General features: G+C 52.6%; 1 protein-coding gene and 1 long non-coding RNA gene across 2 annotated transcripts in view, besides 3 other annotated features; one reads left to right on the top strand and one right to left on the bottom strand.

Moving 5' to 3' along the window:
* Nucleotides 1-20,137, bottom strand: part of LOXL2 (lysyl oxidase like 2) — a 107,224-nt gene that overhangs the window by 26,651 nt on the left and 60,436 nt on the right. The window contains exons 4-6 of the mRNA NM_002318.3: nucleotides 17,445-17,656; nucleotides 9,854-10,076; nucleotides 4,835-5,018 (exon numbers count right to left, since the gene is read on the bottom strand). Of these exons, the coding sequence (NP_002309.1) occupies nucleotides 4,835-5,018; nucleotides 9,854-10,076; nucleotides 17,445-17,656 (619 nt within the window). The remainder of the gene's footprint in view (nucleotides 1-4,834; nucleotides 5,019-9,853; nucleotides 10,077-17,444; nucleotides 17,657-20,137) is intronic.
* Nucleotides 943-1,443: an enhancer, noted in NCBI's record as "H3K4me1 hESC enhancer chr8:23182003-23182503 (GRCh37/hg19 assembly coordinates)". NCBI's record gives its function as "activates a minimal SCP1, AML or CMV promoter by ChIP-STARR-seq in naive H9 embryonic stem cells {active_cell/tissue: H9 hESC(naive)}" and the evidence as "EXISTENCE:reporter gene assay evidence [ECO:0000049][PMID:30033119]".
* Nucleotides 12,456-12,705: an enhancer, noted in NCBI's record as "active region_27116". NCBI's record gives its function as "activates an Ori minimal core promoter by ATAC-STARR-seq in GM12878 lymphoblastoid cells {active_cell/tissue: GM12878}" and the evidence as "EXISTENCE:reporter gene assay evidence [ECO:0000049][PMID:35858748]".
* Nucleotides 12,661-20,137, top strand: part of LOXL2-AS1 (LOXL2 antisense RNA 1) — a 29,918-nt gene continuing 22,441 nt past the window's right edge. The window contains exons 1-2 of the long non-coding RNA NR_038323.1: nucleotides 12,661-13,910; nucleotides 17,479-17,602. This is a non-coding gene — a long non-coding RNA (LOXL2 antisense RNA 1). The remainder of the gene's footprint in view (nucleotides 13,911-17,478; nucleotides 17,603-20,137) is intronic.
* Nucleotides 14,770-15,270: an enhancer, noted in NCBI's record as "H3K4me1 hESC enhancer chr8:23195830-23196330 (GRCh37/hg19 assembly coordinates)". NCBI's record gives its function as "activates a minimal SCP1, AML or CMV promoter by ChIP-STARR-seq in primed H9 embryonic stem cells {active_cell/tissue: H9 hESC(primed)}" and the evidence as "EXISTENCE:reporter gene assay evidence [ECO:0000049][PMID:30033119]".

Genomic DNA, 20,137 nt, shown 5'->3' on the forward strand with positions numbered 1-20,137 from the left:
CGGCAGTGAGCTGGGCAGGCAGCCTGAGATTGAATTCAGCTTGAGGCTGAAGATTAGGTTGAATCCTTGGAGTGATAAAAGCTTTAGCTCTACCTTCCTCATTTGTAAAAGGCCAATTAATTATAATATGTGTTTTGCCAGATCGGGATTTTTTTTTTGGGGGGGTGGGGGTGGGACGAACTCTTGCTCTGTTGCCCAGGCTGGAGTGCAGTGACGCCATCTCGGCTCACTGCAACCTCCACCTCCCAGGTTCAAGCGATTCTTCTGCCTTGGCCTCCTGAGTAGCTGGAAATACAGGCACATGCCACCATGCCCAGCTAATTTTTGTGTTTTTAGTAGACATGGGGTTTCACCATGTTGGCCAGGATGGTCTCGATCTCTTGACCTTGTGATCTGCCCGCCTCGGCCTCCCAAAGTGCTGGGATTACAGATGCAAGCCACCATGCCTGGCCTGATTAAGGTTATTTCTTATTTCTGCCACTTGACATGAACTCCTGGAGAGCGGAGCATTTGTGGAATAAATGAATTCTTCATTCCAGGATCCAGGCTGAAAAGCACTCAAACAGTGTTTGTGGATTGCTAAGACTACAGCTCAAGACTGGACAGGACAGGTAAAGCCAACTTAAGAGCCTAGCATGCTTCAGACTCAACTGGTTGGTCTCCTTCTGGCTGAACTTCTGTGTAAACTTGCGTGGCTGTCTCAGCCATCTGGGGTCAGTCTCCTTGTGGCTGAACGTCTATGTAAACTTGCGTGGCTGTCTCAGACATCTGGGGACAAGGCTCCGGGGGGCAGGGCCTCCCTCCTGAAGCACACATACCCATGGTGCGTCCAAGGAAGGGCACAGAGAAAGAGGCCCAGTGTGGCTCACTCTCTTCCTGCCCCACTGAGTTCCGTGGGGGGTTGGGCAGGGTGGAAGAGGCTCCGAAGGACACTGGACTGGGTGTCTGGCTTCAGCGTCTGGGTGTCTGTGGACTTCTGGTTCCTTCTGCTGACCTGGGCTTGGCATTCTGCATCCTTGACCTGCAGCTGTCACCTACTCCTGTGTTCTGGAGCACCCCTGAATTGCTCCTCCTCATGGTGCCTTCCCCGTCTCCACCTTGGCTCTGTTCTTCTCCACATACAAACCCTGGCCTAGGTGACCACAAGGCGTGAGGCAGAATTAGGGCACAGTGGAAAAGCCGCGTCTAACATCATAGAGCAGTGTTACGGCTTCCATGGGTCCAGGCCAATGAGTGGGCTGAACTGTCAACTAAGCTGGTTACATTCAGATTGTAGGAAGCACAAGAGAACAGAATAGGACATGTCACGGGTTCTGCATATTGTAAAGCTAAGCTCTTGTTTAGAAAACCTTTGCTGGAGTTTTACATGTCACATGCATTCCTTCTTGGGGACTGCATGCAAAAGGGTTTTCAAGCCACTGCTGTAAAACTGGGGAGCTGCCCCCTCCAGTACAGGAGCCACCAGCTGCATGTGGCTATTGAGCACTTGAAATGTAGCCAGCCAGTTTGTCTACTCAGAAATGCAGACAAACTGAGAGGTCTGTTAAGTGTAAAATACATACTGGATTTCAAAGACTTAGCACCAAATATGCAAATGATCTCATTAATAGCATTCATATTGATTACATGTTGAAATAATATTTTGGATACACTGGTTTAAAGAAAATACATTATTAAAGCTAACGTCATCTTTTTAAAATTGTGGCTACTAGAAAATGCAAAGTTACATGCGTGGTTCCGGTTCTATTTGTTTTCTTTTTGAGAGACAGAGTCTCGCTATGTCACTCAAGCTGGAGTGCAGTGACATGATCATGGTTCACTGCAGCCTACCTCGAGGGCTCAAGTGATCCTCCCACCTCAGCCTTCTGAGTAGCTGGGACCACAGGTGTGTACCACCATGTCTGGCTAATTTTTAAAAAAATTTTGTAGAGAGGGGGTCTCACTATGTTGCCCAGGCTCGTCTTGAACTCCCAGGCTCAAGTGATCCTCCTGCCTCTGCTTCCCAAAGTCCTGGGATTACAGGCGTGAGTCCTGTTCTGTTTCTATCAGACAGCACCGGTCTAGTGTTGGAACTTCTTCACCAAGTATTTGTTCTACTGATCCTACTGATTCAACTGGAACACATTCATTCATTCCTTACAACTGAATAGCACTGGAGCGCTGCATGCTGGCGGACTCGGCACTAAGGACACAGAGATAAAGACACAGGTGCTCCCCTCATGTGGCATGCAGCCTTGCAGGGACATGGAGGCACCAACAGGCAGTTGGGGTCCCGATGCGGGCAGGGGTCCTAAGGCACAGAGCAGAGAGCCTGACCAGGACCTCATGTCTATGCTGGTGAGGCTGGAGCCAGTCAGAGCTGCAGGTGCTGTGCGTCCAGCCACCTTGTTTCACAGTGAAGAATCTGAGGCCCAGAAGGTTGCTCAAGGTCACCAAGCAAGCAGGTGGCTGGGCAGGGAGGAGGACTCAGATTGCCCGACTCACAGTCATTGCCCTTTCATGCCTCGTGGCTGTGGGTGTGGTCACTGAGTCCATCAGCTAGAGCCAGGGCTGAGGGGCTGACCCTGTCTGCTCTGTGACTTGACATTAAATGTGGTACTTTTCCCTTTCTGCCTACTAGAGTTGACCCTGCCCAGCATGACAGGAGATATCAATCATCCACTGCTTCTTACAAGGACAGCATCCAAAATGCCAAATGCCTCTTTCTCCCAGAGTTCTGCAGGCCCCTGGAAACCTCTGGCTGCTCTGGGCAGTGAAATGATTAGGTCACATAGCACACACCCATGATAAATGGAATGTTTATGTCATCGAGGGCCTGTTTATTCCTCAGAATGAGTGGTCTTTGTCCTGTAGGCCCTTGGAGAGCACAAACCCACACATCGGCCAATCAGTAAATGACTGCAGGGATAGTCAAGATCCAGGGAGGCCAGGTGCAGTGGCTCGTGTCTATAATCCCAGCACTTTGGGAGACCGAGGTGGGTGGATCACTTGAGGTCAGGAGTTCAAGACCAGCCTGGCCAACATGGTGAAACCCCGTCTTTACTAAAAATACAAAAATTAGCTGGGTGTGGTGGTGCACACCCATAATCCAAGCTACCTGGGAGGCTGAGGCAGGATAATTGCTTGAACCGGGGAGGCAGAGGTTGCAGTGAGCCGAGATCGCGCCACTGTGCTGGGTGACTGAGTGAGACTCTGTCTCCAAAAAAGATCCAGGGGATCCTGTGGAGCTCACCATGCCCAGGGAAGGAGCACTGTTATATGGCCCAATGGAAGCTGCCAGGTGGCATGATGTGACTCAGAGTGCACCCCAGACCTCCAAACTTCAGTGCACACCTGGAAGCTTGCACAGACTGGAGAACAGAGGCAGAGAGACATTCTGAATGTGAACAGGACTGGGCCAAGGTGGGCATAAGGAAGAAGCCCTTGTCTGAGAGTTAGAAGACTTGGCTTTCAGTCTTTCTCTGCCAGCAATGAATGGGGTGACCTCAGACTTGTTCTCCTCAACTCTTGGACTAGAGGACCTGAGGTCTCTCCAGCAGTACTGTCCATCATTTCAGGACTCTCTCGAGGCCACTGGAATGCGGGCTTCCTTCCAACGTCAGGGCACCCTGTAAGAGCTGACCCACTGCAGGCTAGGGCATGGGTAGGCCGTAGAAAGAACCAACCAATGGCACTAGACAGATGAGCTCCACTTCTAGAAGGAGGAAAGCTCTACGGTCTTTGACTCAGCTGGAGGTTAAGTTCAATGCAGGATTCTACAGTCTCACACAGAAAACCACTGGATGTGGTGTGAGGCCCTGGGCTAGTGAGGGCTATCATTTCTTCCAGGCTGTGATCAGTGACCTCACCACATTCCTTTCTGTGGGGTGATGGCCCAACATCTGACACTATGGAAATATCCCCTCCCCACTGGACAGGCCACCCCACCGCTTGTCTGTAGCCTATTCTGCTTCCTACCTATCCCTTCCCAGCCATAGCAGCCGACGGTCTGCAGCGGCCTCCCTGCTGGTCAAGGCTGAAAAGATTCCAGGAAATGACCATGACTTCCCTCACTCAAGTCACAGTTGTCTCGGGGAAGACTGGGCACTCCTAGACCGCACAGTCTGTTCGGGGTAAAATCTCCCCCTGTTGAATGACCAAGGCTCGCAAGGATAAATGGTGGTCGTGGGGCTTCCTGGGGAGGAGAAATGACCTCTTCTGTGTCGTCTTCTAGCTGCAACATCACTTTCCACCAACGGACCCACTTGAAAGCCTCCCTTCCGTTTTTTTGCTCACATGAAAGATTTGTTCAGGACAGTTAATAAAAAGCAGGCCCTTTCTCAATTAGTCTGAGGACATCCGGAGGGCGGCTTCTTGTTCCCTTTCTCTGCTGTCAGGGAGGGAGTGTGTGCAGGGCTGCTCCAGGGAGGAAAAGTAAGATGGCATTTGGTCCTTTTGTTGTACAGAGTGGTTCAGTCTGGTGAACTCGGAGGCCCTCTCCTGCAGGAGGGGCCTGAGAACCCTGGCGTTTTTTGGTAAGACAGCAGAGAGCACTGGGTTAGGAGCTGGGAGACCTACGGGGGAGTATTCATTGGCTGCTAATATGTTATCTCACCTTGGATGTTTACTCCGTCTTTTGGGCCTCTGCTTCCAAATCTATAAAATAGGGTCTCAGTGTTCTCTAAGGCCCCTTTCAACTCTGTCTAGGGAGAGGCCTGGGATTCTCTCCCAGGCAGCCACTAAAGGGAGGAGGGAAAGTGAGGATTTCCCGAGAGCTCACGGCCAGCAGCCAGGCTGGGCTCACGGCACCATGCTCCCAGGAAGAGAGGCCCCCTCTAGCCTCCCCATTCCTTACCTTGCCCCAGTCGGGAGCCAGTGACTGCCTCTTTGGCACTCCCAAAGCCCAGCTCTCTGCAGACCACACTGGCCGACACCAGGTCCCACTTGTCGTCGCAGACGGTCCCCCATTCTCCATTTTTGAGCACCTCCACGCGGCCCTCCCCGATGTAGGCACCGCCTCTCAGTCGCACCAGGGGTTGCTGAAGAGACACACGGTCCTGCTGAGTACAGACGCTGATGCACGTTCAGCGGGTGACCACTGTCCCCGCCCCCTCCCTTCCCTGCCACCCTGTTCCCAGGCCAGGCACTCAGTCTGGGAGCTGCAACTATGCTTGATGTATGGATGTGTGTGTGTGTGTGTGTGTGTGTGTGTGTGTGTGTCGTGGGTGTGTTGGGGTGTGGGAGCTTCCTCTATAGAGTCAGCTCTGGTGCAAGCTCCCTTTGCAGCCCTCGCGTGGAGCTTCTGTCCTGGTCCCCTGGGGAGCCCATTGGGGACCGTCGATCACTCATCACCCCAACCTTTGCGTGGCACAAGGATCCTTCCATCAGCACGTCCCCCACCAACTCCAGAGCCTCATGCTTCAGAGCTACAGAAAGAAGCGCCTACCCTCCAAAGTCTGCAGATTCCAAATGGATAATAATTCTTTCTTGTAACAAGGTTGCTTCTAAGCAAGTTTGGATCAACCTTGCTTATAACACAGTGCTACAGTCTAGGCCTGCAGAGACTCCAAAGTACTAGGCAGGCACTGGAACGATTCTGCTGTGCACACCAGCTAGAGGCAGGAGGGAGCAGAACGGGAAGACAGGCAGCTGGAAAGCCAACCTTCATACAGCCATGACTCAGAGAATGGATGGGGAGCCTCATACTGATTTGTCCCAGGGCTGGGGGCATGCCCAGCCTCCCTCAATTTGACTCCAAGTCCAAATTGGCCTGACTCCAGAAGATGCAGCCCAATCAGCTATGCAGAGAGGGTGGAGAATTAGAGTTTAAACACCCCCAGTGTTCACTGACAGTCTGGAAGCTTTAATCTCCTTGTGGGCTTTACTGAGTTAGACAGGAGTAAGACTCTCTACGTCTTGGCCACAGTGCATCATGTCTTACAAGATGGGAGCTGGGTCATTTGACTCCAGCTGTCCACATACCCAGGTTTGCATCTGTTTCTCTGCATGTGTGGCACGTGTGTGTGTAAGCTCACCTGCATGCATGCTGCATGTATGCGTGTGTGTGTTTTGGAGGAGGCTCAGAAGCCTATGAGGCTCTCAGCTACTGCTGATGCTCATTCAACTCCACAGAGGGAGTGAGGAAGACTGTGTAGCCATTCTAGGTGTGTCATATCAGACCAGAGTCATTGCCTGCCCTAGCCTATGTTGTCCTTAGCCCAGAACTGCCTTCACCCTACCACTGATGGCCACGGCGAGGCAGGCCTGGGTGGAGATGACCTTTTCAAGCATTCATGTCCACCAGCTACCTTCAGCGGGATGGCATCATACAAGAACCTGCCTCTCTACCAATTGTACCTTGGGGCTGGCCATGGCATGGTGGGGTGCTGGGACAGCACCCAGATTTACAGACCTCAGGGACTGCTCTGACCCCCGCAGTATGGGGAGAAGAAAAAAGGGGAAAACAGCCAGTGACTGCAGGATCTTTTACCCTAGCTTTAAAAAAAAACCCAAACAGGGCCAGGTGCGGTGGCTCACGCCTGTAATCCCAGCACTTTGGGAGGCCAAGGCGGGTGGATCACGAGGTCAGGAGATTGAGACCATCCTGGCTAACATGGTGAAACCCCGTCTCTACTAAAAAACAAAAAAATACAAAAAATTAGCCAGGTGCGGTGGCGGGTGCCTGTAGTCCCAGCTACTCGGGAGGCTGAGGCAGGAGAATGGCGTGAACCCGGGAGGCGGAGCTTGCAGTGAGCCGAGATTGCGCCACTGCATTCTGGCCTGGGCGAAAGAGCGAGACTCCGTCTCAAAACAAAACAAAACAAAACAAAACAAAATAAAACAAAAAAAATCCAAACAGAACAAAACACGCATAACTACTGGCTGGCTGCAACCTCTGTTTTCTGTAGAATGGTGGCCTCCTGCTTCCCTGACCTCCCTTCCCAAGCTGTCTTCCCACAGAATGGACCATCCATGACCTAAGCTTAATGGAGGCAGAGGTCAAATAACCTCGCCCCAGCCCAGCTATGGCCAAGCAGTCAGCTGGCCCCAGAGGAAAGAAAGAAACCAAGGGAAAATATGATGTAAGGCACGCTCGCTCTGTTTTAATTGGTTTGGTATGAACTTGATTCCTTTGCTTTAAACCGCACAGTAGAGGAATTCCAAAACAGTAGGATCTGGTATTCTGGATGACACACAAGGAAAGCTCAGAGGCTCAGGCTGAGGCTGTGGAAAGGATGTGGCCATCAAATCATACACAGGGGGCAAGCAGGGTGTGGTGGGGGTTTGGGGGGTGGTGGACTGATTGTCGGAGGAGAGGGACATGGCGCTGTCCAGGCGTGTCCTGGAGGCACACATATGATGGTGTGGTCCCCTCTGTGCTCTTCAGAGGCTCTTGAGGGGACTGAGGAGGCAGGGCCTCCTGAAATTGCCAGGAAGTCACTCCTGATAGTTCCCACTCCCTCTGGTTGAGGAGGGCTGGGCTCCCAGCATGCATTTCACTCCTCTCACTGAAGGCTCAGTCTTTTGTTCAAATCTCCACCAAGCCTGGGATGGGGGCACCCAGTGTGGTTTATCCGGCTCTTGTCACGGTGTCCCTTTTATATTGGAGGAGTGTAATAACCTCCTTTCCACAGCAGGTCTCAACAAAGAGGGGAGACCGGGGAGGGGAGAGGGGAAAGAGGGAGGGGACAGGAGAGGAGCCAAAAGGGCATGGCTGGGGGAAAGCTGGTTGGCTCAGCCTCTGCTGCTCCTGCCTGGCTGCCTGGACCTGGCTGACACACTCTCTGCCCCCACCCCAGAGCCCTTCTCCCTCCTCTGGCTCTCTCTTATCCCTGACTTGGTGACAGCCCACCTGGAACTCACCCCTGCCAAGGTGATGATTACTACGATCATCACGCTAATCAGATGCTGTCTCATCTACTCATGCCGCGTCAGCAAACAGTGCACTAAGTACTGAGGTTTTACCTGGCACAGGGCATCAGCCCCTGAGAAATGATCGGTCACTTCTCCTATCCCTCCCTCTCCTCTTCCCAGTTGCTATTCCCACCCACTCACAAGATATTCGCTGTTTCCTGAACACAGAAATCACAGAGACCCTTTGATGGATACAGGAAAAAGGAAGAGGAGGAGAAAGAAAAGCGAATCAAGAAGAGACAGATAGGGCATTTGCTCTTTGTCAGAGGCTGGGTCAAGCCTGCTGTGGTTGGACTACTTTACTTGTTCTAGGAAATCGGCCAGTGGGCTCACATCTGTAATCCCAGCACTTTGGGAGGCTGAGGCGGGTGGGCCATCTGAGGTCAGGAGTTCAAGACTAGCCTGGCCAACATGGTGAAACCCCATCTCTACTAAAAATACAAAAATTAGCGAGGCGTGGTGGCGGGTGCCTGTCATCTCAGCTACTTGGGAGGCCGAGGCAGGAGAATCGCGTGAACCCAGGAGCCGGAGGTTGCAGTGAACCAAGATCATGCCATTGCACTCCAGCCTGGCAACAAGAGTGAAACTCTGTCTCAAAAAAAAAAAAAAGAAGAAGAAGAAGAAAAGAAAAGAAAAGAAAAAAGAAATCGGCCCATTGAAATGGGGCTGTTACTTTATATGGGAAGATGTTCATCTGCATTTCAGGAATACACTCACACACACACTCACACTCTCTCACACACACACACACACCCCACACACACCCACACCCACCCCACACACCCCCTACACACTCACACCCCCACACACTTATACACACCACCCACACATACACACAACCCACACAGACCCCCACACACACTCATACACACCCCCTACACACATACACAACCCCCACATACACCCCCACACTCATACACACCCACACACACCCCACATACACACTCATACACACACACTCATACACACACCGCCACACACCCACAAACACACCCCACACACTCCTACAGACACACCCACACACATACCCCCCACACACTCCCATACCCCCCCACTCATACACACACATACACATCCCTACACACACCCCCACTCATACACCCCCACACACCCACACTCATACACACACACCCACGCACACATCCCCCCCAGACACCCCTCACAATCATACACACCCAACACACCCACTCATACACACCCACACTCACACGCTCATACACCCCCCCACACTCATACACACACTCATACACCCCCCACACACTCATACACATGCACTCATACACACACACTCATACACCCCCATAAACTCATACACACCCCCACTCATACACACTCATACACCCCCCCACACTCATACCCACACTCATACACCCCCACTCATACACACCCACACACTCACCCCCGCACACATACACACACACTCATACACACGCACAGACTCATACACACACCCCCATACACATACACCCCCCCCACAGAGGGGGGGTGTTTCACATAAGTATAATGTGACTAATGTATAGATGACTTAGGATAATGGCAGGTTTTCTACCTTGGTGGAAGCTTTTTAAAATTGTTACCCTTTCTGTTGCAAAATAAACCAAACATGCTTGCAAATGTGTCGCTGACTGCATGTGCTTTTCAGAGTTGGGTCACATTTCCAGCTGTCCTTTGGGAACTGTGCAGGGACACAAGGTCCCTGTCGCACAACCCTTCATCGTCTGCTCCTGCTGGGTAAGCGGACAGCGCACCAACAGCCTGTGACAACTGATGCTGGGGTATTCTTCTCCCCCAGGTGGTCCTTCTCTGCAGAGGGCGCTCAGGTCTCAGAGTAAAGCAGCCACAATGGTGATCTCCGCTGAGGCCACCCTTCCTCACTCTCCTGGGGGATCCTGCCTACTCCCTCAACACCCTCCCATCCCCTCCAGGTGCCAAGTGGCCACACCTCGTGCCCCGTCCTCACCTCTGGCTTGTACGCTTTCCGGAATCTTGAGGGTCCGTCAGGGCTGAAGACCTGCCCAGGCACACAACTCACCACGGCCGGTAGCCCATTCTCGCAGGTGACATTCTTCATGGGGTCCAGTGACACCTGGGGGCCCAGCTTGCAGCTGGAGATGTGGGCCTCTGTGCCGGTGCAGTCCATGGAGAATGGCCAGTAGCGCTGCTTCCTCCGTGAGGCAAACATTCTGCAGACGATGGGAGGGGACAGGGGACCAGGGCATCATGACGCCTACCCCGATTCCTTCTGCAACGAGGCAGAACATGAGAGACTGGGCCCTGCTCCTGGAGCTCAGCCCTGCTTCACAGAGGGTCCCAGCTCAGTCCATTCTGCCAGCATTCACTGAGCACCTGCTAATGCCTGCACCACACTAGGCACTGGGGGACAGGACGCAGAGGGTGGACAAGGCCTCCTGCCCTCAGGCAGCTTCCATTCTAGGAAAGAAAGGACTCACTCAATGTGGTGAAATAATAATAATAAAGCCCAGGAACACAGAATGCACAAAGGTATTTAAAACAGGTGAGATCCCTGGTCCTAGAAAACCCCTCACAGTCGAAGGTAAACCATGTTTACCCTAACTCTTCAGATAATTCCAACAAAATTTGTTGTCATTCTTTTTTTTTTCTGAGACAGAGTCTCACTCTATTCCCCCAGGCAGAAGTGCAGTGGTGCAATCACTGCAACCTCTGCCTCCCAGATTCAAGCAATTCTGCAGCCTCAGCCTCCTGAGTAGCTGGGACTACAGGTACCTGCCACCACGCCCAGCTAATTTTTGTATTTTTAGTAGAGACGGGGTTTCGCCATGTTGGCCAGGATGGTCTCAAACTCCTGATCTCAAATGATCTGCCTGCCTCGGCCTCCCAAAGTGCTGGGATTATAGGCATGGGCCACTGTGCCCAGCCTGTTGTCATTCTTTAGCTTTATTTTTCTTTGTCAATGAGCAGTACAAGCTGATTGCTAAACTCTCCCAACGATATACAAGATTAAATTTGTATTTCCAATGAGAAACAATGAAAACAGTCTTAAATTACTCCATCTGCTGAATCAAAGTACAATCTGCCTAGCAATAGAAATTATAATGGTAATGCAACTACTGCTTCCTGCACCCAGGAAGATCAGTGAGGTTGAGCTTGTCTCTGTACCATATCCTAAGGAAGCCCTTAGCCTGTATTGTTAACATGTGCAAAGTGTTCCTTTGTATGTTTTTTTTTAAAGGCAGAATATAGATGCAGGTAATTCAGTTTTTTTTTTTCTAAAACAGTAACCAACTGATAAGTAATAGATTGGCTACCAAAAAGGATACTGTACCTCAGTTTCTCATGTCCAAAATCAGAAGTAGTATCTGCTTCACTAGATTATTGTGACAGTTTATTTATTTGTTGTTGTTTTTTTTTTTTTGAGATGGAGTCTCACTCTGTTGCCCAGGCTGGAGTGCTTTGGCGCGATCTTAACTCACTGCAACCTCCACCTCCCAGGTTCAAGGAATTCTCCTGCTTCAGCCTCCCGTGTAGCTGGGATTACAGGTACCTGCCACCACATCCGGCTAATTTTGTATTTTTAGTAGAGACAGTGTTTCACCGTGTTGCCAGGCTGCTCTCGAACTCCTGACCTCAGGTAATCTGCCTCCCTCGGCCTCCCAAAGCGTTGGGATTACAGGGATGAGCTATCACGCCAGACCATAAATCTGTATTTGGAGGTAGTATCCAAATTTATGCCAAGTCATATCATTGTAAGGAGGCCGTGGCAGGAGACCCCCTCACCCCATCTGGGTTCCCATGACTCTGGCCCTTTAAGAAGAGGCTAGAACTCTGGAGAAGTTGAGGTCTCCTGGGACCAGGGTGGTCTCGAAGTCCTGACCTCTGGTGATCTGGCCACCTCTGCCTCCCAAAGTGCTGGGATTATAGGCATGCGTCAGTGCCTGGCCTGTTGTGACAGTTTAAATGAGTTAATACTTGTCACTTAAAACAGTGCCCAGAGATAGGAAGAGCTACATAAGAGTTTGTGAAATAAATAAGTAAATAAATAAAACTGTATTTGTTAAAGAAAAAAAAAGAAGAGTGACAGGAGGGAGGGATTCCATGGTTGGAGTGATGGGAGACTTTACGGAAGAGAAGCCTTTAAATTGGGCCCTGAATGATGGTGGGATCTGAAACAAAGGAGGTCCAGGAAGGCCCTGCTACCTGCTCATGTCGACCCAGCTTTTCAGGGCCCGTGTGCTTGTCCCTGCACGGCAGGACCCAGTAAGATGCCAGAAGGAGCCAGCAGAGGGTACTCGCTGGGCAGGCTGACCCCAAGACAGGGCAGAGGCGAGGTCCCATCCCTGCTGGTCCAGCAGCCCTGGAAGTACCTCCTTTGTCTCAGAGTGAATGGGGTGTGAAGACAGAGGAAGGGCAAATCCTACAGACACAGTTATCATCTCTCCTTAACCCAAATCTGAGACTTGTTACAATTCTAGTGTGCTTGTGAACACAATGACACGGAATCTTGCTGAGGACTATCCTGGCAAATTCAGGGTGCGTGCTCACCACAGCGGCAGCCCAGGGCAGAGAACTGCTCAGGAGGGCTATTAATAATTCCAGGAACCACTGCCCTCCAGACACACTTCCTGCAAGGCCCCTGCACTTGGAAGCTTACAGCATGTTCCATGACGCCCACACAGGGGCGGGAGAAGATACTCGGGGGAACACCAGCTGCTCGAGGATTGGTCAGACCTCACCGCCTGCCTTGGCTCAGGAAAACCCCTCTGCTTCCAGCCGTCAGTGAGCGCCACCCTCTCCAGGAACAGATGTCCTGCGTTCTAAATGAAGAGTGCAGAGCCCACAGCAAACAACTGTCCCCAGCAGCCCGGATCCCTCTGACATCAGCCCCCAGGAATGTGCTGCAGACCCTCTAGCACGTTCAGGCCTCCCAGGGGATACCCTCCCCTCCCCTCCTCCATCCCAGTGTTTCACTGGGGACAGGCCTCTGAGCTGCAGACGGAGGCCCACGGAGGGTGGAAGACAGCCCACCCCGCTCCAGACCTGGAGACTGGAGGAGTGACTGGAGTGAGTGAGGCAGCCTTGAGTGGAGTGGAGCGGGAAGCCTGCCTGTGAAAGAGGCAGCTAGGCCAATAGCTGGACTGTAGGAAGAACACGGAGCTGGACTGATTCAACCAAGAGTCCTACCGACCGGTGCTCCCCTTGCCAAGAGTGAAGGCAGATGCCGTGGGATTCTGCCAGCTGCTGAGTACATCTATTTCCATGATGCTTTCCGGAAGTGGGGAAATAGCACAGAATGGGTTTCAGATGGACGTAAGCTAAAAACCCATAAGCCCCCACTTTGATGTTCTGGGTCTCCTAGAATTACTGTCAGCTCAGAACCAGTGGCCAGTAGTCCAAAAGATCTGATTATTTCCTTTTCTCCAATGCACGCTCATCCTGGTGAAAGGTGTCTTTGGAGAACTGGGAGAAAGAATACAGTATAGATTTCTGGCAGGCTACGAGGGTGCTTCCTTGAGGGTACCCAGCCTTTCCCTCATTCAAGAGCTTCCAGTCTGATAAAACTGGCTCAAGTACGGGAATGGATTGAGGGGTCATGACTCTACTCTGCTTTTATGATTTGGGATAGACTTTTGTTTGCTTGACCTAGAAGTTTTCTGCTTATACAGATTAAGTACGAACTTAGTAGGCTTCCTGTCTATTTCACTTCGAGGAACATCATGATCAACCAGCCAACACCACAGGTCTGCAGCAGTCAGACTGATTTCTGCTTTGACTCCACTGTCCAATAGGGTCAGCACGTCCACCTTGCCTTTGGTAGTACTACAGCCACGGGGCCCCCGCCACCCTGGAGCCAATTACTCCGGTCGCATTCAGGTTACTGGTTCAGTGGCTGCTGTTCCTGCTGTGAGGTCTGGCCTTCAGAGAAGAGTGATCACAGCTCCTCAAGGAGGCTGGAGCTCCTTTCATATATTTACTTCTCACCATCAAGGTGAAAGGCATGTCTTCAGGAGCTTCCCAGCGTGGGTGAGGAGGTCTTAAAGGTAAGATCCACTCTAACATCCAACCTCCCTAAGCTTTTGAATTCTGTCCTCTACACACAACAGAGGCAGGGTCAGCATTTCTACTCACTCACTGTGGGCCACACTTTGGTCCACATTTCAGCCAACCAACCAGGCAAACCGCTGGAGGCCTTTCTAACTTCCTCAGCTGCAACATTAAATGCAGAATCTCTGCTTAGAGAGCTCATTTCAATTAAATGATGTCAGTATTGGGATCCTACTTTTGGGAGAACAAAATTATGACTACAAAATGCTCCCTCTTGGCACCAGGAATGGGGGCCTGAAGTTTAAGCTTCATTAGCTTTAAGGTACATGCATTGCACCCCAGCCCGGTGTGGAAGTCAGTGCCACGGCCACACCAATCAGAGAGCAGGCCTTGGTGAGGAGCCCCTGACTCTACTTTTGGCAAGCCTGTGGCTGCAGAGACCTCTGGGGTATGTGCAGGTAACTGGAGGGTATTAGTCCATTCTCATGCTGCTAATAAAGACATACCCGAGCCTGGGTAATTTATAAAGGAAAGAGGTTCAATAAGCTCAACAGTTTCACGTGACTGGGGAAGCCTCACCATCATGGCAGAAGGTGAAGGAGGAACAAAGGCACGTCTTACATGACAGCAGGCAAGAGAGCGTGTGCAGGGGAACTGGCCTTTATAAAACCATCAGGTCTCATGAGACTTATTCACTATCATGAGAACAGCATGGGAAAAACCCACACCCATGATTCAGTTACCTCCCACTGGGTCCCTCCCACGACATGTGGGGTTATGGGAGCCACAATTCAAGATGAGATTTGGGTGGGGACACAGCCAAACCGTATCACTAGGGGAAGCAGAGGTGCTGAGGAAGAGCTGCAGTTGGTGGCCAGGGGGCAGCTCTCAGGCTTCCGAGTGGCCACCAGCCCAGCAGGTTCACAGAGGGAGCCAGTCCAGTAAGGCAGCAGCGGGGTGGGGGGGCCCAAGGTGGGGGGCCCTCGGGGGTTAAGCAGGTGAGCTTCCGAGGCTATAAGGTCCTTCACGGGCCTTGGTGGATACATGGAGATTACTAACTCCACCCCAGACTGGGAATTACTTTGAAAATAATTTCCTGCAGAGTGGGCAGTGCTGCATGGCGGGAGGGAAGGGGGTCCCTTCTTGGGCCTCAGAGGTGTGCTGCCAGCAACAGCAGCCACAGGCTGTAGGAAGAGGGAAAGGGACATGGGAAAGATGCAACTGCAAGCCACTGCTTCAAGGGCCGGGCAGGGTGGTGGTCCTCAGTCTGCCTTCCAGACCTCTGCAGTCCTCAGCTTCTGAGCAGCGCCCATGGATATCCCTAGTCCCAGGCCAGTCCTGCCACAACCCTCAGACTGGCCAGAGCTTCTGAGCTGGCCCTACCCCCGGGAGAAGAGGAGCTGCAGCAGGGCCAGCAGGTGGAGACTGCTGGGTGGTGCTCTCCCTGAAGCAGACCTGGGCTGTCCTGCAGGCTCTGCTGGGTGTGGGCTGTGACACCCTGAGTCCACTGCCCTTCAGGCCTCTTCCATGTTCTCTTCCAGGCAGACCCAGGGCTTAGGCCAGTGGTCTCTGAGCCTTATCATTCCCTAGGAGTCCTAGCCCTTTGCTGGCAGCTCAGCCCCGACAGCCCACCGAGGCACAGAAAGCCTTCCCAGCACCTTTCTCTTTGGGACACATGTAGGCCTAACTGTCAACTGAGTCCCAGAGACGAACACAAAATGACAGGGCCAAGCTGAGAAGGTCGTGCTTCCCTTCCCACTCCTCTGCTAGGAAGGCAGCCCCACCTCTCCAGCTAGAAGGCTGCAGGAGGGGCTGGTTTCCAGCAGCTTCTGTTCTTCATCACCCATCCTGCAGACAGCACCACCCACCACCCCCTCCTTGGATCGCTCTCAGCCTTGGAAGCCTTATCCTCCCCGTCCTTGAAAAGGCAAAGCCACAGACGAGAGGGTGGGAGGGGCAGGATGGGGGTTCCAATCCAGCACGTGACAGGATTACCCAGGGCCCAGCTGCCGAAACTGGCCTGAGATCAACTCCTCAAAAGCCGAGAAGGACTCTGGACTGGCCACGGTTGGGAGATGGCTTCCAAACGCCATCTGAACAAGGCGCGTGCTGTCCAGCTTAGAACAGCAGCCAGGCTGGGGGCACTGGTAGGGCCAGCCAGGTAGGAAGCCTGCCAGGGAGGGGGTTTGCTTTTCTTGGCTCCGACTGGTAAGAAAAGCTGAGAAGGTATCACCAAGGAAGGAGTCGGGTGGGAGTTCTCCAAAGTATTCAGAGGACGGCGACTCCTGGTGCCAACAGGAAGGTCTGGGCCATGTCTGGGGACTGGAATCACCATCATGGCCAGCCTGGGGTGTTGTGTGCTCACCCAAATGGGCAGCTCTGCAGCTGCACTGACCCACCCATGTGAGGGGCTGGGGGCTGGGACAAAATTATGGCCCACCCCGTCCAGGCAGGGCTGGGCCAGGATCAGGGAGGGATATGTGGTCTGCCCGGCACCCCAGGGAGCTGGTGGGTACAGCTGGGGCTTCAAGCCAGGTCTCCTGACATGGAAGCCACATCTTTTCTTCCTCTGATTTGGAAGGAAAGAGACAGTGCTGTGAGTCTGCACCCTCTAAGAGTGTGGACCCTATAGCTGGACACAGGGGACCTCCAGAGGCCAGGGTGTGCGTGAGGCCTGGATCTGCCCCTTCCTGGTTCTATCACCTTTCTCCAGTTTACTCAACTCTAAAACAGACTCCTATTTCCCAGTGGTGGTGCGAGGATTAAATGACTGAGAATAGTGCCTGGCACATTATAAGTCTTTGGTAAAGCCAAGCCAGTATTCCTATCATTATTAAGAGGAGGGAGGAACACCCCATGACCAACCAAGTATACCCCAAGTATACGCCAGCCATCAGCTTGTTGGGGTGCTGGAATCCTTCCACTGGACACCCCTTAAGTCAAAATGACTCCAGGTTCTGTCCCTGTCTACTTCTTTCCCCTACTGGGAAATATTAACCTTAGCGATCATCACAGTATTGTCAGATTTAACTGGGATTGGATGAAGTGAACTGCACGGACCAGTGTCTCAATTACCTGCTGCAACTTCCAGATTTCTCAGAAGAATCATTTGCCAAGAGCAAGTAAATATTTCTTCTTAAGTTGGTGTTGTCTGTGCCCAGCCTGGCCAGGGTATTGCCCTAGCCTAGCTCGTGCAGTCCCTGAGCTGGCCGGCAGCACCCTGAGCTGGGGTTCTCTGGGCTGGGGGCAGCTTGCATCTCACTTCTGCAATACGCCTTCCCACAAGCTACTCTAGGGATTAGGGTCTATCTCCTGTAGATGTGTGAGTTCCTTAAGGGTAAGGATGCCACGGGGCACCCTTGAACTTGGCGCCTGGCCCGGCCCAGGGGCTCTGTGCAGGCTGCCTGCAGGGACACCAGCTTGCCTGGCCATGCCTGGCCAAGGAAAGGCCACCACCAGGGCGGACACTTTTAACTCTTTTAGGCAGGGCGGATACCCTCAAAGCCACCCCTTTGGTGCAGTCCTCTTACTTGTACACTTTGGTATTGTATGTCCTCTCCCCAGGGAAGCCAAACATGCCGCAGACCACGCGGGAATTCTTGGCCGTCCAGTGCTTGTCACAGATCTGCTTCCAGGTCTTGCCCTCCTTCACCTCCACGTAGCCCTCCATCACTGGGGTGCGCTTGCGGTAGGTTGAGAGGATGGCTCGAATCCGAATGTCCTCCACCTGGATATTCAGGTTCTGGGAAGAAAGAGGCGTGGAAGGAGAGGGTTACCCTACTGGCCTGGCTGCAGAGACACCAGGCAACCAGTACTTCTTTAGCGACTATGGGCCAGGCCTGCCGCGGGCCTGCCTGTGCCCTCAGGCCCTGCAGTGAGCTCTGGGCAACCCCGAGGGGCACACGGCCCAAGCTGCAGTTAGAAAGCGCTATGCATGGGAGATAGTGAGGCTGAAAGGACCCAACAGGGAGTGGGGTGACCTGGAACAGTCAGAAAAGACTCAGAGACCCCATGGGCTTCTCCTACATCCGAACCTAAGATCTTGGAGAGCAAAGGGCAGCAGCCTCCTCCTGCACAGGCCTCGAAATAAATGCACAGGAGAGAAAGTGTTCTTTGAATGCGGATTTTGCATTTCACTCCAAAGTATGTGTGTATGTGCCTGTGAGTGTGTCTGTGTGTGTCTCCCTGATTCATCTTTCAGTAAAACTTGAGTTTCAGATAGAGGACCCCCAGATGTCCTGAAGCTGGTGGTGCCACCCTGCAGACTACCTCATACCCCAGGGGTGGGCATTCCTCTCTTCAAAAATCCTTAGAGAGGCCTGAGAGAAGAAGCAGGGCTTAGAGAGAAACGAAGCAGATATTCCTGGTGTTGAGCGTGCTGTGTGCAGAGACTCACACCTGCCTGGCAGGGATCAGGGAGGTAGGGTTGGGGACAACTATTTGGCTGCAGCAAGGAAAGGAGACACAGCAAGGAAAGGAGACACTTTGAGCCCCTTAGAGGGTTCCCTTCCCACACCCACCCCACCCATCTATCTGTGGAGTAAAGGACAGAGGCTGGGGTCAGGGTTGGAAAGATTCATTGGCAGGGCCCTTTGGGAGGAAGTGGAGGAGGGCTGGAGGGGCATGGGCGAGAGGAAGGCGCCTGCCTCCCTGCCACGTGGGTGTTCCCCCTCCCTCGACGTGGAGCTGAAATATCCCTGTACCACCTAGACCTGAGTCCCAGGGATCGGGCAGGAGAGGGGGCCTCAAGAGGCCAAGCTGAATGAGAGGAGAAGAGGTTCCCTGGAGTTACAGTGGCACTTTTTAATGCCTTTCCAAGACATGCCATAACAGGCTCCAAACTCTATGGAAGCTCCCCCCTAAATCACTCATGGCCAGCCATCACCAGCTCTTGCGACAGTCCCTGACTGAGTTCCTGCCTCCGTCTGTCTGCCACAGGGCCAGCCACCAAAGAGCCTCTTTTTTCTTTTTCTTTTTTTTTTTTTTTTGAGACGGAGTCTCGCTCTGTCGCCCAGGCTGGAGTACAGTGGCGCGATCTCGGCTCACTGCAAGCTCCGCCTCCCGGGTTCACGCCATTCTCCTGCCTCAGCCTCCCAAGTAGCTGGGACTACAGGCGCACGCCACCACACCCGGCCAATTGTTTGTATTTTTAGTAGAGACAGGGTTTCACCATGTTAGCCAGGATGGTCTCGATTTCCTGACCTCATGATCAGCCCGCCTTGGCCTCACAAAGTGCTGGGATTACAGGCATGAGCCACCGTGCCCGGCCTTTTTTTTCTTTTAATTAATTAATTTTTATTCTTTTTTGAGGCAGGGTCTCACTCTGTTGCCCAGGCTGGAGTGCAGTGGTGTGATCAGGGCTCACTGCAGTCTCCATATCCTGGGCTCAACCGATCCTCCTGTTTCAGTCTCCCAAGTAGTTGGAAGTAGAGGTGTACATCACCACGCCCAGCTAATTTTAAAATATATTTCAGAGACGAGGTCTCACTATGTTGCCTAAGCTGGTTTCGAACTCCTGGCCTCAAGGCATCCTCCCACCTCAGCCTCCCAAAGTGCTGGAATTACAGGTATGAGGCACTGCAGCTGGCTCTTTCTAAAACACAGATCTAACCTTGTCCCTTGACTAGCTCCTCTTTGTCTATGTAATACCCTAATATTGAGCAAGATGCTCTCGGCCATTCAGGACTGATTCCACTTATGCCTCCAGCCCCCTCACTGTCCCCAGCTTCACATGGATCCACAAACACCATGAATTGCAGTATATAATAGCAACAGCTACCGCAAAGCATGCACCAGGTACCCAGCCCTATGTCAAGTGTCTTCCTTGCATTCTCCTACTTAACCCTCGCACGCTGTAATGAGGTGGTTGATAGCTACTGCCATCCCCACCTTACAGATGAGAATACCAGCTGACTCCAGTTCCCTCCCTAGGGCCACCCCGAGGTGCAGTGGAAGACACACACACTGTGGGCGGGCCAGGGACTGGGAGGTGGGGCTGGTCCAAGCCGGGCTGGAAGGCAGGAGGAACCCAGCACCCCGACTGCCCCAGCCCTGTCCAACTGAGATGCAAATGAACCACGAGTTTGAACAGAACCATTCTTTGGGTGCCCAGGGATTCACGTCTCCTCGCCATGGGCTTCAGGGTCCACAGCCAGGCCCTACTCTCAGGTCCTGCAAGGCGGTGGAAAGTATGTGGGCCTGGAGTGATGGCACTTGGCTCCGT

This window comes from Homo sapiens, chromosome 8 (assembly GCF_000001405.40).
Source record: "Homo sapiens chromosome 8, GRCh38.p14 Primary Assembly".
Taxonomy (NCBI): Eukaryota; Metazoa; Chordata; class Mammalia; order Primates; family Hominidae; genus Homo; species Homo sapiens.